Source organism: Homo sapiens, chromosome 1, assembly GCF_000001405.40.
Source record: "Homo sapiens chromosome 1, GRCh38.p14 Primary Assembly".
Lineage (NCBI taxonomy): Eukaryota > Metazoa > Chordata > Mammalia > Primates > Hominidae > Homo > Homo sapiens.
The window spans coordinates 64,534,969-64,552,318 of record NC_000001.11 but is presented as its reverse complement, the minus strand read 5'-3'; the positions used below and the strand labels follow the sequence as shown (position 1 = coordinate 64,552,318).

At 38.3% G+C, this 17,350-nt stretch overlaps 1 protein-coding gene across 5 annotated transcripts in view, besides 1 other annotated feature; it reads right to left on the bottom strand.

Annotated features, from left to right (window-relative positions):
- The window catches only part of CACHD1 (cache domain containing 1), a 222,925-nt gene that overhangs the window by 140,735 nt on the left and 64,840 nt on the right, over positions 1 to 17,350 (bottom strand). For all 5 annotated transcript variants that reach the window (NM_020925.4, XM_047426234.1, XM_047426235.1 and 2 more), the window contains exon 2: positions 1,663 to 1,725. In NM_020925.4, coding sequence (NP_065976.3) covers positions 1,663 to 1,725 — 63 coding nt within the window. The remainder of the gene's footprint in view (positions 1 to 1,662; positions 1,726 to 17,350) is intronic.
- Positions 5,851 to 6,352: an enhancer, noted in NCBI's record as "NANOG hESC enhancer chr1:65011650-65012151 (GRCh37/hg19 assembly coordinates)". NCBI's record gives its function as "activates a minimal SCP1, AML or CMV promoter by ChIP-STARR-seq in naive and primed H9 embryonic stem cells {active_cell/tissue: H9 hESC(naive and primed)}" and the evidence as "EXISTENCE:reporter gene assay evidence [ECO:0000049][PMID:30033119]".

The following is a 17,350-nucleotide window of genomic DNA, read 5'->3' as shown; positions in this document are numbered from 1 at the left end:
TTATTTGGTAAAAATCAATGTGATATACATGGAAGTTGCCTAGCCCTGATGTTCCATAAGTGCTCAGTCAGCAGGTATAATTTCTAAAATTATTGTTAAAGGCTTCTAAACTTGTTCCTAGCTAGATAAATAAAAAATGACATCAGTGCAAAGGGGGTGGGGGGAAAAAACTTTCACATTTGACAACAGCCTAAGTAAGAACTTGTATCTGTTACTTGAAGGAAAGTGGCAAAACTGATATCCCTGGATCAGTTTCTTTAAAATGTTATCAAATGGCCTCTGGTCTCCCAGAAAGTTTCCTTGAACATGCTTCGTTCAGAAATCTTCGCCCACAAAAAATCTCTTAAATTTCACGACCATAAAGAACTTTCTAGTTTGCTGAAATAAAAATAAGACAGGAATTATGAAGATAAGACTTAGCACAGCAAACTACATCCTATTTACTACAATAAATAAATACTCAGGCCATCAGCTTTTAAAAATATCTAAAGCTAAGAAAAAGAACATACATATACATGACTATTTATATCCTCTATATTTAACCTGCAGAAACTCAATCTTTAAAAACTCAATGTCTATAAACAGGAAATGCTGCACTTCAAGATTAAACCACGGTAATTTATTATAAGTAAATAAGTATCCTACAAACAACTTTACTATAAGGACACTTGCAAATGTCAAGCTGTTCTCCATGAACATAATAATGGCGGAATCTCAGAGAGTTCAAAATCGTATGCAGTTTACTATAGTTATCTTTCTATTCTGTGGAAGCAGTCTGCTACACTCTGGTTTTTAGCTTGGTTCTGTTTTTTACTTGAGTTTCAAACCTAGCTTCAAATTACTAGTTGATGGTGTTGATGGTCACATACTGTAATGAAGTTGGTGGATTCGCTGAAATTAAAACCAACTCCTATTTACCACCCTTCTTTTCAAGCACAGATCAATTATTTACGACCAGGTTCATCAACACTATATTTTAGGAGGCAGTTCATCTGAAGCCAGCTATAAATAAAGTAAATAGAATCTGACCTCAAAACTTCTTGACTCCACAGAGAACTGAAAGAAGATGGGAGGGGAGAAGCAAAGGAAAAAAAAAAAGAGGAAAGAAAAAGAAAAGAACAAAAGAAGCCAACATCCAATGAGCTGCTTCTATGCCAGAATTACAATTTTATTTCATTCTTGGTCAATTTGTCATCATTTAATTCTCACAACCCCATAAGGCAGTATTATGTTCCTCTTATTTAAGATTGAGAAACTGCAGCTCAAAAAGGCTAAATTGCTTACTGGGGCTACAAAATAAGGAGGAAAACCAGAATTTGACGTGGGGTCTGTCTGATTCCAAAGCCTGGACACTTATTTTCTACATCAGATAAAATAATTTTCAGTGTTTTTAGGTGTGAGTCATTTAGGAATTTTTAAAACAAAAAGGAATTAAATAGTTCCAAATTATAGCGTGGATAGCAGAAAACCATGCATATAAGTTTTTAACCGCCTCTAAGAATCTGAAGTGTAAGGTTGTCACCATTATGCATGAGATGCACGTGAAATTATACAGAGAGAAAGAACAGGAAACCTCAAGTGGAGATTGCTTGGAAAGAGTGACGAAGCCACATCTAAAAGCAAGACAAAGACAGGGAGTGTCAAGTACTCATTGCCTCTTACCTGCTGTACTTCACTTTCTCCATTTGAGATTTTCTCAGTGTAAACAAAGGAGTTGAATATCCGCTGCAATGAAAAGAAAATGAACATGAGATTTTCTAAATAAGTCATTTTCTACATGAGTGTGTATGTGAATAATTTGTTTACAACAAATAGAATCTAGTAGAAAAAAAATTTAATTAAAATGCAGTAATTTTACAGAGAGAAACCCAAGTATCAGCCAAAGTCAATCACACTTATGTAAGCAATACCCAGGCACCTCTGTAGCAAAATAAACCAGGTGTTACACTATATTTTTCATTTTCAAAAATACATTTAATTATAGATTTCTGGAGTCCATGCCATTTTATCCGACTAGTATAATCTGACCAAGTTGTGTTTCTCATTTAAATCCTGCGCTCCCTGAATGCTGTAATTGTTTACGGACACTAACATCTAATGCAATAAAGATCTTTAAAAGGGATTCTTTCCATATTCTCTCATGTCCCTGTTCAGTCAGTACCTACCCAATATTATCTATCACCTTCGTTACTCAAGTACCCCGTCAGGAGAGTAACATAATAGGGCTTGCCAAATATGTGTGGACTTAAGAGAAGATCCAGTTCTTACATGCCAGGAAATATGACAGCTGTGCCAAGACATTAGGCCAAACTACAGCACACAAGCACACACATTCTTCCACTGGTCCCTGCCTAGATGGTACCTACTCCTCCATACATTGCCTCTATTTAAAATGTCTCTGCAGACTTATGACTTTACCAAACTGTACCGTTACTGAGTAATCACAAGAGATTAACATATAACAAACTAAAAAATGAGAATCTAAGTTATGTATCTGCTAGAGGAGCAAAAAAATAAAAAAAATAAAAAGAGCAGCAGCCTTATCATTTATCTTCAAGCTTTAAAGATACCACTGAACTCTCCAGATGAGTAAGGAGTCAGACCTGGAGATGTCAGCCAAAATTTCCTTCTTCCTTTCCATCCTGCTGCCAAGGGTTTGTCAGCATCTGGGACAGCTTCCCAGACGGCCTAACACACCTGCATGGTTGTGGTACAGAAGATAAGTGAAGCCAAGTTCATCATGCAATGTACATCTAAACAGACCAAATGGAGGAAGATCAAGCTGCTGGGGCTTAGAGGGAGGTTTGGTCGGGGGGTGGAGTGCAGGATGGAGGGAAGCAAACAAACTTGAGAAGGACTAGGATGAAATTACAGTCTGGAAAATTATTACAAATCATGGTGCCTCCCATCATTCTCCAATGTGTCACTCATTCATTCAACAGATGTTTACTGTCATTTTCTTTTCTGAAAATGACTCTGCTGGTATGAAAGTTCATTACAGGTCTCTAGTAATGTTCATAATGATATTATCATTGGCTAATATCTACTGAATACTTACAATGGAGTGGACACTATTCTAAGCACATTACATTTATTTATTTAACTTTCACAAAACACCTTTGTGATAGGCACTATTATTATCCCTACATAGATGAGGAAACTGAAGCATATTTACCAAGTGCCTAGGGCAATCCAGATATTGTGCCTCATGTGTATATTTTATTTAATGTTCATTTCAAAATTACTGTAGCTTTAAAGATGAAAAACTAAGGGTCTGGGAGATTAAATAACATACCCCCAAATCACTTGGCAAGGCTGGAATCTGAACCCAGGCAATATGACTTCAGATCTGGCGCTCCTAACTCTATTGTCTTATAAGAATTTGCTACCTGATTGCTTTACATACATTAAAAGATGCTGCGGTCATGAGCTAACACCTGAACATAATGCAGATCAACAATCCCTATGTGTAATTTCAAAATTCAAAAGGCTCTGAAAATCAAAAGTTTTACATAACACATTTGTTAGCAAAATACGGAATAGCCTGAACTTATTTGGCAGTGAATCCTAACTTGAACTGATGTGTATGTATAGTCCTTGTTAAACCACTTAGTGTGCTATTTATACATTTTGATGCAGATCTCAACCAATGTATTTGATTATGGGGCTCTGCTCTAGATACCACTACCGGTGTTTTACATTCAGGGGGCATTAGGATTCTAAATCCTGAAATACTCATTTTGGAAGAAGGATTAAGAACCCACAGACCTCTCCCAGATCTTTGGGGGACATCTTAGTTCACTACATTATAATGCTCTTAGAGGCCTGGTCAATGTCATTACCACCCATGCCCCCCAGAATATATTCTCTATTCTCATACAATTTGATTTCCAAAAGCTGTTAAATAGTGCCAACAGTACATTTGTATTAAAAGTAACATAATTCATATAGTGACTCCAGATCTTGATAAACATGGTCAATTTCTTATTTCCTTTCTGGCAGTGATATTCCAATTGATACAGTATCTGTTCTATCTTGGCAAATGCTTCCACCAGAGTTGACTGATGAAGGAGGCATGAACTACTCCAGATGCACCCTGCTCAAGCCAACACCCACAAAGGGCCAAATCAGATACTTCCTTCTCCTTTTTGTTAAAACAAAGGTGAAGTCCTCAGTAGTAATAAAGAATATATGCCCGGAAGGGTTCAGGAGGCTGTGTTTTGGTCCCTATTTTACTCATTTATTATCTTAACAGGAGTGATTACTAATACTTTTATCTTAGTAGATCTTTTTATGACATAAGCATTTTTATATTCTTCATATCTAATAAATGTGGGTGGGCAAAAGAAAATTTTAAAAGCAAGAAAGATGTTTTAAATGTAAGCAGTAGTAATTCTATAGACTACTTATTTTGTATAAACCCGTATCGATCCCAGAAGTGAAAGGGGATGTGTTAGGTTATAGTTCGGGGCTATCACCAAAGCAAAACATTTTTTTTACCCCTTCTCCTTCCTCAAGTAGTTGGGGTGTGGGATGGAGAGGAGCTTTAAGAACTTTAGTGAGATGCCATGGGAAGCCAGTAGAACTTAGACAAGTAACTCATGACTTAACCAATTAGCCACATTTGGTGCAAGGTTAAAAGTTCAGGCTTAGGCTGGGTGCGGTGGCTCATGCCTGTAATCCCAGCACCTTGGGAGGCTTAGGTGGGCAGATCACCTGAGGTCAGGAGTTCAAGACAAGCCCGGCTAACATGGTGAAACCCCGTTTCTATTAAAAATACAAAAAATTAGCCAGGCATGGTGGTGCACACCTGTAATCCCGGCTACTTGGGAGGCTGAGGGAGGAGAATTGCTCGAACCCAGGAGGCAGAGGTTGCAGTGAGTCAAGAAAGCACCATTGCACTCCAGCTTGGGCAACAAGAGCGAAACTCTGTCTCAGAAAAACAAACAAAACAACAACAAAAAAGTTCAGGCTTATGTGTGTGCACAAGATCTCAAACTACAGGGTGAATTTTCACTATGCTCTAGGTCAATGGACAGTAATCGTCTTTCTTAAAATGCAGGACCTGCTAAGCCCAGCTCTCAAAGGCTTAGTACTTTTATACTTTACAATTTCACATAAATTATTGCATTTGATCTTCATAACAACTGTATGTGGTAGGCAGGGCAGGGGTCTGAAACCACATTTTACAGACTAAAAAACTACACTTCCAAAGGTAGAAAATATATCCCAGGTAAAAAGTTAAAGCATTGAGGCCTAAATCTAGACCTTGAGTTAAAAACAGGCACTGTATTTAGCAAAGCTATTAAACAAATTCATTCATATCACCTTCTTCTTCTGTATAGCCTAGGAATCCTAATACTTGCATGTAGGAAAAAAAATGAGCATTTGGGGGTTTTTTTCTATCCATTTTATTTTAAGCAAGATATATTGTCCAGGGTAATTAAAGAATCCCAGACAAAGGTTTTATATTTTTTATTACTTCTATTGCTACGTAAAATTATAAAAGAAATAGAGTACGGGGCTTTTGGGAGCTTTTGATTTTAATGCAAGAGCCAGGAATTCAAAATGATACACCTAGCCAACATTTTTGTGACTTCAGGGTAAAGATTTTCCTGGTTAATAGAGGACTTGGAAAATGGAAATGGAAAGGAAAATTTTTCCTAAAACATGAAAATGATCAGCCACTGGGAGTGGTGGCTCATGCTGTAATCCCAGAATTTTGGGGGGCTGAGGCAGGTGGATCACTTAAGCTTAGGAGTTCAAGACCAGCCTGGCCAACATAGCAAAACCTCATCTATATGAAAAAATATAAATATTAGCCGGGTGTGACGGCACCCACGGGTAGTTCAGCTACTCAGGAGGCAGAGGTGGGAGGATCACTTGAGCCCAGGAGGCAGAGGCTGCAGTGAGCCAAGATTGTGCTACTGCACTCCAGCCTGGCTAACAGAATCAGACCATGTCTCAAAAAAAAAAAAGTAAACGAAAAAGAGAAAAGAAAAGAAAATGAAGAGCCATCATGACAGGTCTGATCCTTCAGTCCTCTTGGATGATTTACTCACAGTAACAGGGTTAGGGTAGGCAGGGTGAGCATTCTGCTTTCTATTCCAAGTTGTCACTTTCCTTTATCCCAACTCCCCGGAGGGCTAAAGGAATCCCAGAAATCTGAACTCTTACTGTGAACACAACCCCAAGGGAGTCAGAAGTTAACTCTCCTCACTTTGCAAATCCCTGGAAATGAAGCCAAAGATACTGCCCAGCCCTGCCCATTACTCTTTCTTGTTTTTAAAATTCTTTATCAAATACTAAAACTAAAAATATATTTTATTATATAGTGAACAGATTAAAATAGGTGAGGAGTTTTAAAATGTTATTTTAAATAGAAACATTTCACAGAATCTTCTGTTACATTTATTTCTGTAATTAAAAGAAAACAAGAACAAAATGTCTTATTCTTATGTGCATGGTAACCAAGCACTCTGATTTAGAGACAAAACTGACCTTTCTCTCATTAATGCATGCACCTTGGAAAACTGGCGGTATCTTCTCAAGTTAATTATATGGATATTTATGACTCAGCAATTCCAATCCTTGGTATACACCTTGCAGACACATGGTTGTGTGTTCATCAAAAGACAAGTACAGTACACAACAATGTTCACACAGCAAAACTACTCGTAGTAGCACCTACCTAGAATACTCAAATGCCTATCAGCAATAGAAAATTAAACTGTGGTGAATTCGCATAACAGAATATTCAGTGATGAGAATGAAAAACGATTGCAACATGCATCAACATGATGAATCTCACAAACATGATACTGAGTGAAAGATGCCAGACACTAGCATACAAAGTATATAATTCCATTTACATAAAGTTCAAAACCAGGCAAAACTAATCTAGCCTGTTAAAAGTCAGGATAGTGGTTATTCTTTGTGGGAGAATGAATAGAATAGGGCATAAAAGGAGCTTCCGGGATGCTGACATTTTCTGTTTCTTGATGTGGTTGCTGGTTACCGGATGTGTTCACTTTTGTGAGAATTCATCAAGATGTACACTTTGTGCATTCTTCTGTATGCTATGCTTCAATAAATTTACTTTAAACATACATTCTAGGTAGTCTCTCTAAAATATACTCTACTCAAATGTTTTTGTAAATACACAAATGTTTTGTATATTTTTAAAACTATTGATGCATTCTTAAAAAGGAAGGGCAAGACTCTAGTAACTGGGCTATTATAAAAACTCAAAGAAAAATCTAAACCCCAATCCATAATCCAGATAAAACTGGGGCTATGCTAACTGAAGAGTCACCTAGCAATTCACAGATAAGGTCTCCTGAGCCTTCCCCGAGGCTACATTTTAATTGCTCCCTCACACTTTAAGTATATACAATATTGCTTAGTTCTCCAGCTTCCCAACTAACAGTACTGTACAAATCTGAATTTTCAGCAAGAAAAGGGGTATCTTTACTGAGTTTCATCCAACCTAGATGTTCTAAAGGTATGTTACATTATTAAATCAAATCTCTTTACATATTCCTTTCTTTTATTCCCTAAGCACTGCCTCCCCGCTCCCTCCCCAAAAGAGCAGGTTCAACACAAATGAAGTTAAAAATTAGAGTCACATAATAACAGTTGAATACAGTTCCCCCTACCTCTACTCCAAGGGGAAGAAAAAAAAAAAAGACAAACATCTTGGTGTGTGTGTGTGTTTGTGCGCACGTGTGCATGGGTAGCCTGCTTTCCCCACCTTGTACTGGCTGCACCTTAGTCCTTCCCTCTCTCCATCCACTGACCCACCCTCCCAAACCATCATCTCCTCCCTTACCAAATCTCCCAAATTAATTGAGCCTGCTTGACAGATAGCAAGAGAATTCCACTTTGCTGGAACAAGGACAATTACATGTGTGTTTAATAAGATGGTCAGTCCAGACAGTTGGCCCAACCTTCACGCCACCAACAACTCTGCCAAATTTTAACTAGATATTGAAATGAATGCTACAGCAGAATACCACAGCAAAGAAATAAATACCTTTGCAAGCCTAATGAGATTCTCTGGGTCTCCCTCCCTGATATTTGCTAAGAAAATGTGGACTGAGTTTTTATTCAAAAGCTTATTCTCTTGCTATTTATGGGTCTCTGTGGCAAGCACATATGGCTGACAGTTCAGTAATGGCTTCATTCAGCTCTGGATCTGTTCCTATGATTCCAGGCATTGTGGTTAAAGGGGAGGAAAGTATAGATCACCACTGTTATCGCAAGAGGCTGACCAACACTAACCCCTAAAAGACAAAATGCTGTCATTTAAACAAATTTTTTTAAAAATCATGGGGCTGGGTGTGGTGACTCATGCCTGTAATCCTAGCCCTTTGGGAGGCCGAGGCCGGTGGATCACATGGCTGACATGGCGAAGCCCTGTTTCTACCAAAAAAAAAAAAAAAAAAAAAAAGCACTGAAAAGGTAATTAATGAAAACCTAATTTAAGTATTTTAAGAAATAAAATGTGTATGACTGTATTCTTCCCTAAGTATACCCCATGAATAATCTTTTACCAGGTTTGAAGGGAACCCTCCTGTCCAGATTAGACCTCATCTGATTTTTACCAGACTATTTAACCTCATACTATTAAACAAATGGAAGGCCCAATAAAAACGGCATTCTCTGATGAGGCTAATTATTCTGCATTCTGAGGTCAAAAATCTGTTGCTATAGATCTTGGTCACTTTTAAAATTATTATTTTAGAGACAGTCTCACTGTGCTACCCAGGCTGGAGTGCAGTAGCATGATCCTAGCTCACTGCAGCTTTGAATTCCTGGGCTCAAGTGATCCTCTCGCCTCAGCCTCCCAAGTAGCTAGGACGTGTGCATCACCACTGCTGGCTAATTTAAATATATATATATATATATATATATGTATTTTTTTTTAGAGATAGGATCTCGCTATGTCACTGAGATTGGTCTCAAACTTCTTGCCTCAAGCCATCTTCCCACCTTGGCCTCCCAAAGTGCTGGGATAACAGGCATGAGCCGCCATGCCTGGCCTTTGGTCAATTTTTAATCTCAGAATTTGTTCATTTTGGATACAGGTGGTTCAAGAAAATAGTTTGCCAAGAGTATGGAAAAGGTTACCACTAAAAAGAAAAATAGAAAATAACCTAAGTATCCAACAATAGGAAACCAATTAAAAGACTCTTCATCCAATCAAAAACATTGTGCAGCTATTAAAAGCATGTTTATATAAAAAATTTATTGTTAATATGTGTAAAGCAGCATTTAAATATATAAATATTATTCTAATTATGCGTGTGTGTGTGTGTGTGTGTGTGTTGATGTGTGTGTGGATGTACTATGTATCATAATGTTGCCATGTATCCCAAGGGCCTGGAATGCACTCAGGTGCTTTGCAACATATTGTCTCATTTAATATTTACAATGACCTTTATAACTACATCCTCATTTTACAGATGAGGGAACTGAGGTTCTGAGAGATTAATTTGATAAAGCTGAATATTGTAAGTACATGGTCAAGTCTGAATACAAAGCCTGTCTTACTCCTAAATTTATCTGTAATCCCCTATGCAAAGATCATCTTTAATAGAGTTTAATAGAGAAAACTTACGTAACACCTAGAAGTTGATCAAAATAGTAACAGGGCTTGCCTGTAAATAATATATATCTAAAATATATATTTTTCCTTTCTTCCCCCACAAATCTTAAAATTGAATATATAACAGAGAAAGACAAACATTTTTCAGAGTTGTCAAACTCACAAAAGCACATACATCCAAAGTTACAACTAGACTCTACACCACCTCAAGAGCTTTCTGAGGAGAAAATAAATTCAGAGGCTTATGTTTGATGCTCACTATAAAAACTATGTCTTGAATGGCACAGTGACTTGCGAGAAACCAGGGCTATTCCAGTTTGTATAACAAAGGGAAATGCTTAGTTACTGAAAACCATGGCAAAGGAAGAGGCTTACTTTGGGAATTAAAAAAAAATGCATCAGTGACACAATAGACGACCTTGTGCAAATCAAACTGTACGCCCAGGTACACATGACCCAGGTCAACAAACTTCCTTATTTTGTTTTAATGTTGCTATAAATAATGATAATAGCTAATGCTTATATAGTGCTTACTATCTGTCAGGCACTAAGTGCTTTACATAACTCATTTATCTCATAAACGAGAAGATGAATTCATATAGAGCGCACTAAAAATATTATAAATGTACTTCACACACCATTATGATAGTTATCTACTATTATTCTATTTTACTATAGTTAATCCTTTAAGACTATAATAACATTCTATTAATGATAGTTGTTCTATGATAGTCTACTATTATTCTATTTTACTATAGTTAATCCTTTAAGACTATAATAACATTCTATTAATGATAGTTGTTCTATGATAGTTGGAGGTATGGGGGGAACAAAAATACCTGTTTAGATATTTACTGACTCAACTCCCACCTCATTCTGTTTTTGTTTTCTTATCACCCAGGTGGATGGAGTGCAGTGGCATGATCACATCTCATTGCAGACTTGACCTCCCAGGCTCCAGTGATCCTCTCGCCTCAGCCTCCTGAGTAGCTGGAAATACAGGAGCGTACCAGCACGCCTAGCTAATTTTTGTTTTTTTTGTTGGTTTTGTTTTGTTTTGTTTGGTAGAGACAGGGTGTCGCTATGTTGTCCAGGTTGGTCTCGAATTTCCGGGCTCAAGCAATCTGTCCACTTCAGCCTCCCAAAGTGCTGGGATTACAGGTGTAAACCACTGCTCCCAGCCCCACACCTCATTGTTAACAACCTCCTACCAATGGCAATTTCTCCATTTTCTAAAGTTCTATAGCAAAGACTGTCTATGCTACAATCAAAGTAATATGTCCATTACAAAACATTTGAAAATATATAAAGAAGGGAAAAAAATCTGTATCTGACTACTCCATAAAAACCAATATTGTTTACATTTTACTTTATTTCCTTCCAGTCTTTAGAATTTCTAGGTCCTAACCTTATTGTTAATTCCTTGACAACTGGCCCATGCCATGATTCCTTAACACAGTGGATTGTACACAAAAAGCATGAATAAGCATTGTGTATCCATCCACTAGCCTAAGCATTACATTATACAGATCATTATTTTATTTTGGTTGGGTACTCAACCAGCTAGCAAAAACAGGAAGATATCCTTTCTCCCTAGGCTAAAAAATGTTCCCCTTCTCTCAACAATTAACAAGTCTTTCCTTCCATTTTTCCTTCCCTCTCCTCTTTCAGCTTTAAGTATTCGTATGTGCGTGTGCACGTGCGGGCGTGCACACACACACACACACACTCACAGCCACTTGGATACTTCAAGTTTGCCAAAGAACTCAAATTATGAATTCCTTAGTCCGGTGGCATTTAACTTTAACACCCTACAAACCAACATGAGCTCTGAATTTTAAGAAAGCATGTGGGAGAGTCACAATTTGCTGACAAGTGTCACCTTTACAAAGGGCTGCCTATTTTGGTTCACTCCATCCCTCAAAAGAAATTACAGGGAAAAAGGGACAGCCTGCACTCTGATTTAGCAGGGAAAATCTAAAGCAATCATCTCAGCGAGAAGAGTTTCTAGTCTTGATCACTTGATTTCCTGTTACAGCATTCAAAACCAGGAGAGCGGGTGAGTAAACATGAACCCAGAGAACAAAGGCAGGCAAACCAAGACGGAAACACTTCCCTAAATGCAATAAAGGTTCTGAAGGGTTACTGAGTTTTTGTTGTTGTTTTGGCTTTCAAAGTGGGTAAGAGGAAAAATGTCAAATAAATTAGTTCCACATGTTGGAAAGAGTCCGCTGTTAGCCAATATAACTTGACTAAAAGTAATATTCATGACAATGCACATGGCAACCTCTCAGAAATGGAAAGTCGAGTTGCCCAAACTCTTTGCAGATGGTGCCAAATTTCCACTCCCCTATTTTCACTCTCCCAACACCAAACGCCTCCACCCCTACCCCCTAGATCTCCATTAAGGCAATTTTTGTTTCACTTTTAAAGGAAAAAAAAAAGGAGGTATTTAGCGGCCATACATGTATTCTTGGAGGGTGGTGCTTTATATAAGCCTTCAATATTCAGTGTTCTGTGTGTACACGAATGCACACAAATGCTTAGGTCTCTGGGAATCTATCCATTAAGGACAAAGGGAACTGGAAAACCTGAGATGCTTAATCTTCCAGACTTAAGTGACTGATGTTTAATTACTGTCTCACGCAATCAATCAAGTCCTTTCTAAAGGAGTCAGAAGCTATATAAAATATGGTCCCATACCCTTAAGAAACTCACCCTTTAGTTGGAAAGAGAAATTAGGAATAAAAAAATAAAAAGCAACAGTGAACAGTGCAATACAGACTCTGGTATGAACTCAGTATGCTTGGCACAGGCCCAAGGTGCTGTCAGAGTTCAGCAGAGGAGAAACTTGGACTTGCCTTTGAGGTAAGATTTAAATAGGAAAAGAGAAAAAAAGCTTGGGTGAGAGCATTTCAGAGCATTCACTAAGAGGGTCTGGCGCTTAGTATACATTCATAAAGAAAATATTTATTAAGCCCCATTTTGGGCCAGGTACTGTTTAGACCCTAGAGATACAAGAGAGGGTATAACAGGAAAATCCTTGCCCGTTTGGACCCTACATTCTAGCCCCATTGGCCTCAACTTACAAAGGACTCACTACACATTGGCCTGCATATTTGGAAATGGGGTGTTCAAAGATAAAGACGCTGTTTCTTGCCTGAAAAAGTTCACATTCTAGAGAGGCCCTGAAGCCAATAATTATGATACAAAGTCACATGTGGTAACAGAAAGCCAAGCTTCATAAGGGGCACTTTTGGAAACAAAGCTGAACTAAATGGAATACATAGACTGTGCAGGGTTTTCAAGCCAGGGAGAGGAGCTGGCTTTTATGCATGTGGTAGGCACTTAGTAAATATTTTTTTGAATGGGTAAATGAATAAATGTATATTTGCCAAGAAATAAATAGCCGTTAAAAGGATTTTTAACTGGGGAGTGACATGATAAAATAGGTGCTTTAAGAATGTTTATATTCCACATGCTCAGGGCCAGGCACCCACTTTCCTAAACTGTTCCTAAGCCTTTTCGCAAAGAAAAAAATGCAGTCCATTTAGAAATCCATTAGCATCCCAAGGGTCTGTGACAACTCTAAGAACCAAATGAACAGCATCATCTTCTAGTATGATGCTTGAGAGGCTCTGACGTTGAGTTTCCCATGTGTCTTACCTCCCCCAAAAGATTATAAAGTCCTGTGAGGGGCAGTTTTATTCAGTCTTGCAATCCCTATAGCACTTGCATGAAGTAGTGTTGGAGAATGAGACTGAGAAATACTTGTTCAAAAAATAATTTTAAAATAACTTAATGGAAAACAACTGTTGGGGTTTAAAACACAGTTGCAATGTTGCATTCTGAGATGAAGATAAGTTTTCAATACTTCGAAATATGCTACTAACTGTGAGGCTGTTTTGGATGTTTTTCTGAAGAAGTGTTCATTTATATCACGTCCAAAGAGAGAATTTTCATAAATACGATTCTGGTATATTCCTTTATTCAAATAAATACTTTTTCAGTACAATCATCAAGTACAGAAAGTATAAGTCAAAACATCACAAAACCTAAATAACTAATAATATCAAATTGCAGCTCTGTGCGAACTAGCTCTACAGTCTGGTGAAGTCATTTAGCCTCCTCCCTAGGCTTAGTTTCCCTCACATAAAAAACAGGAAATTGGGTTAGATTCTATAAAATACTGTGAACCTAAAATTTCTACTCTACCATTGTGCTAGAATTTTACTGACATGCCAATTGCTAGACTTTTGAAAAGCTACTAATGCTAAGAGTCTTTCTGTCATATGATGTCTCAAGAAAATTATATTTGCTGACTTAAATTGTTTAAAAATAATTATAAATATATCTCTGAAACTGCTGCAGGGGGGAGTACCCAAATACTGATGCGCTGAATTTTTTAAGATGAAAATTTAAATAGAATCAATCTTGAAAATGATGAGTTTAAATGTGGAAATTGAAGCCATGAGTCAAAGTAGTGAGCCTTTATGGAATAAATGTGATGCTAATATGATTACATAAATGACTCCCAGGTCCTCCTGACTATATCGTTTTTCAGGCTGTCACAGCCAGGGTGCCTGTCACGCATATCGAATGCCATGGTAACAACCCTTGCCTGTAAAGGCTGCAGCACCACATGCCATGACTCTCAACAATAATTATTAACTAACATCTTGACTGAATGATGGATTTCTGGACTCAGATGCACAATATAATCTTAATAAATAAATGCTGGGTAGAAATTTTCTTAAGTTTTTAGGGTTAAAAATAAAGGAAACATAAAATGGGGAGTTAAAAAAAAAATCTTTGCCACTTACCAGCAGGGTGGCCTTGGAGAGGTTGGATTTGCCTCCATTTGCTTATTCATAAAATGTAGGTGATAATAGCTACTTCACTGGTTTTTGTGAGGCTCAATGAAAGTATAGCACTTATTTCTTGCATATAGTAAGAGCTCAATAAATAGTAACTTTTTAAAAATCCTTCAAAAAGAACATGTATTCATAGAAATAATGTCATTTGGGACTACCTGGGTCCCATTCCTAATGATAGGAACTCCTCCAAATCAGCATTTCTGAAGCCTTCGGAAGTGACAAGACTTTTGCAAAGCTATACATTTTCAGGAAATGGCTGTGGTATTAAAGATCCAGCTATGACACTGGTAGCTCCCGGTGCCTTTATAAGCTCCGCTCCCAGTCTCAACAAACTGGCCTCTTCAAGTTCAAGTTGGGTCCTTGAGAAAGTGATTTTTTCCCCCTTGTTTATAAGACCTGATGGGAACACCTGTCTGAGAACAAGCCAAATCTCCAGTTTACTTTAGCCCAAGGTTTTGGACGCACACGCCAAGGAGGCCAAAGGAGTAAACTGAAGTTAAGAAATATGTTGCAGAGGTGCTGGTCCCTCCCAATCTAGCACCGCTCAACAAACAATTTTTTTTTTTTCTGGGCAGGGCAGCATAAGTACTGGGTGAGGGGAAAACGCAATCATCGGCTAACCTTTAAAGAGAATAGGAGGGCTGGTCTGAGACACCTTCCCAGACCTAAGCAAGCAGAGTCAAAAAAGATTAAAGCCCTTTTGGTGCTGTCACTGAATATTTACTTTCACATCATGCTGCAAATACGGTGACCCTCACAGAGGGCAACAGGACTCCTGCTCACCTAGAGAGGCAGTCTAGTGTGGGGACAAAGGTCTGGGCTTTGGATTTTCCAGACTTCAGGTATGTCAGATGTGTGTAACCCAGAACAAATTATCCAAACCGTCTGAGCCTGTTTCCTCACGGGAATTTCAGCAACATGCCTCCAACCCCACAGAGACAGAATAGATTTATCATAGCCACCTATTAGGTTTGCTCTTCAAATTAAATGGCATGACCAGCTAAGACAGCATCTGGTATACTGTTTTTGCCCAATTAAATGTAGCTGGTATTAAAACTGTTGTGGTTTTCTCCGAACATCCAACATCCAGTGTTAATCACCCATACATGTTCAGTAAATGTTTAATGACTAAATAAAAGATTTGGTACAACTACTCATTTGACAGAAGAGGAAATCAAGCGTGCAGGAGGTACGTGATAAGTGACCAACCAGAGGCAGGACCGAATACTTCTCCTAACTCTCAGCCTCCCACTATTAAATTTTTTACCATGCTAATTCGTCATGTAATTTTCAAAATCTGGCTGTACTGCACACCGAACTAGAAACTAAACGATATTTATTTACCCCTCAATGCCAGTTGGAACGGAAAGGGAAAATTTATTATCCCAAACTACTGAACAAGGACAAAACCAGAACATCAAATTATTCTCCCCACCAAGTAAATATTTAATTTGGCTTGAGTTCCTGGATGGGAAGCATTGTGTAGTGGAAAGAGCATGGGTTCTGGAAGCAAGGAAGTTGGACTCTGGCTGCTGGCTCCACATTTACTCTAGAGTTGAAGGCATATTGTTTAAATGCCTGGAGACTCCATTTTCCTATCTCCAAAAATGGGTATAATAAATCTATGTTTGGGGAGGGACTACTAAGGGAGGAATACAACATTTCTTTATGGAATGATGAAAAATGTTCTAAAATTAGATCATGTGATCATTGCATAACTAGAAACTTACTAAAAACCACTGAATTGTACACTTTATATAGGAGACTTTATGGAATGTAAACCATCTCAATAACATCAACCTTATGGTCACAGCTTTGAGGACTTAATTAGTTATTACCTACGTGAGGAATACGATGGGGAGCACAATGTAGGGGCTCAATAACAGTTGCATAAATTGGATTTCTGACGCAAAGGTGGTGGTTATCAAACTTAAGGGTACAAAACACATCTTGGATTGCTTGTTATAAAAGGCAGATTCCTAGGCCCCCCACCACCACAGATGAGTCCAGAGGCCCAGAGGAAGCCAGGGGAGGTCAGCATGTGTAAGACTCATGGAGGTGGCCCTGAGGGAGGTGGCCTACTAAACATTGCTTTAAAAGTCCTTTACTAGGGGACGTTTCAAATGGAGACATTTCTACTGTCAATTTCTTGAAATGTCAGTAATGGTCTCCCTATATTGAATTTCTGTACAAATCCAAATTCCCAGAGCTGGCTGTGGTGGCTCATGCCTGTAATCCCAACACTTTGGGAGGCTGAGGTGGGTGGATCACCTGAGGTCAGGAGTACGAGACCACCCTGGCCAACATGGTGAAACTCTGCCTCTACTAAAAATACAAAATTAACCAGGTGTGGTGGCACATGCATGTAATCTCAGCTACTTGGGAAGCTGAGGCAGGAGAATCACTTGAACCCAGGAGGCAGAGGTTGCAGTGAGCCAAGATCATGCCATTGCACTCCAGCCCGGGCAACAAGAGCAAAACTCTATCTCAAAAAAAAAAAAAAACCCTCCAAATTCCCATCAAGTATACTTAAAAGTAAGCTCTGGCTAAAAGAAATTTCTTAACAAAGAGGTGGAGAAAGACGGAGGGAGAGGGAAGAAAGAAAAGCAATATCTACTACTGCTAAACCACTTAGAGGGGGCAAAAGGGACATATTCCCAATCTTTAGATATTAACCACTTTCTACTTGTGTCCACCAAGTTCAGAATTAGAGATGAAATAAGCTTTAGTGGGCTTCCTGAGAGGACAGGAGAAAGAGAAGAAGGAACGGGCACTTTGATTTGTAATGTCTCTGCCTTAACCAACCTGAAAAGTATCTACTGGTATCCCTGTTCTACAAATGAGGAAACTAAGGCTTGGCAGA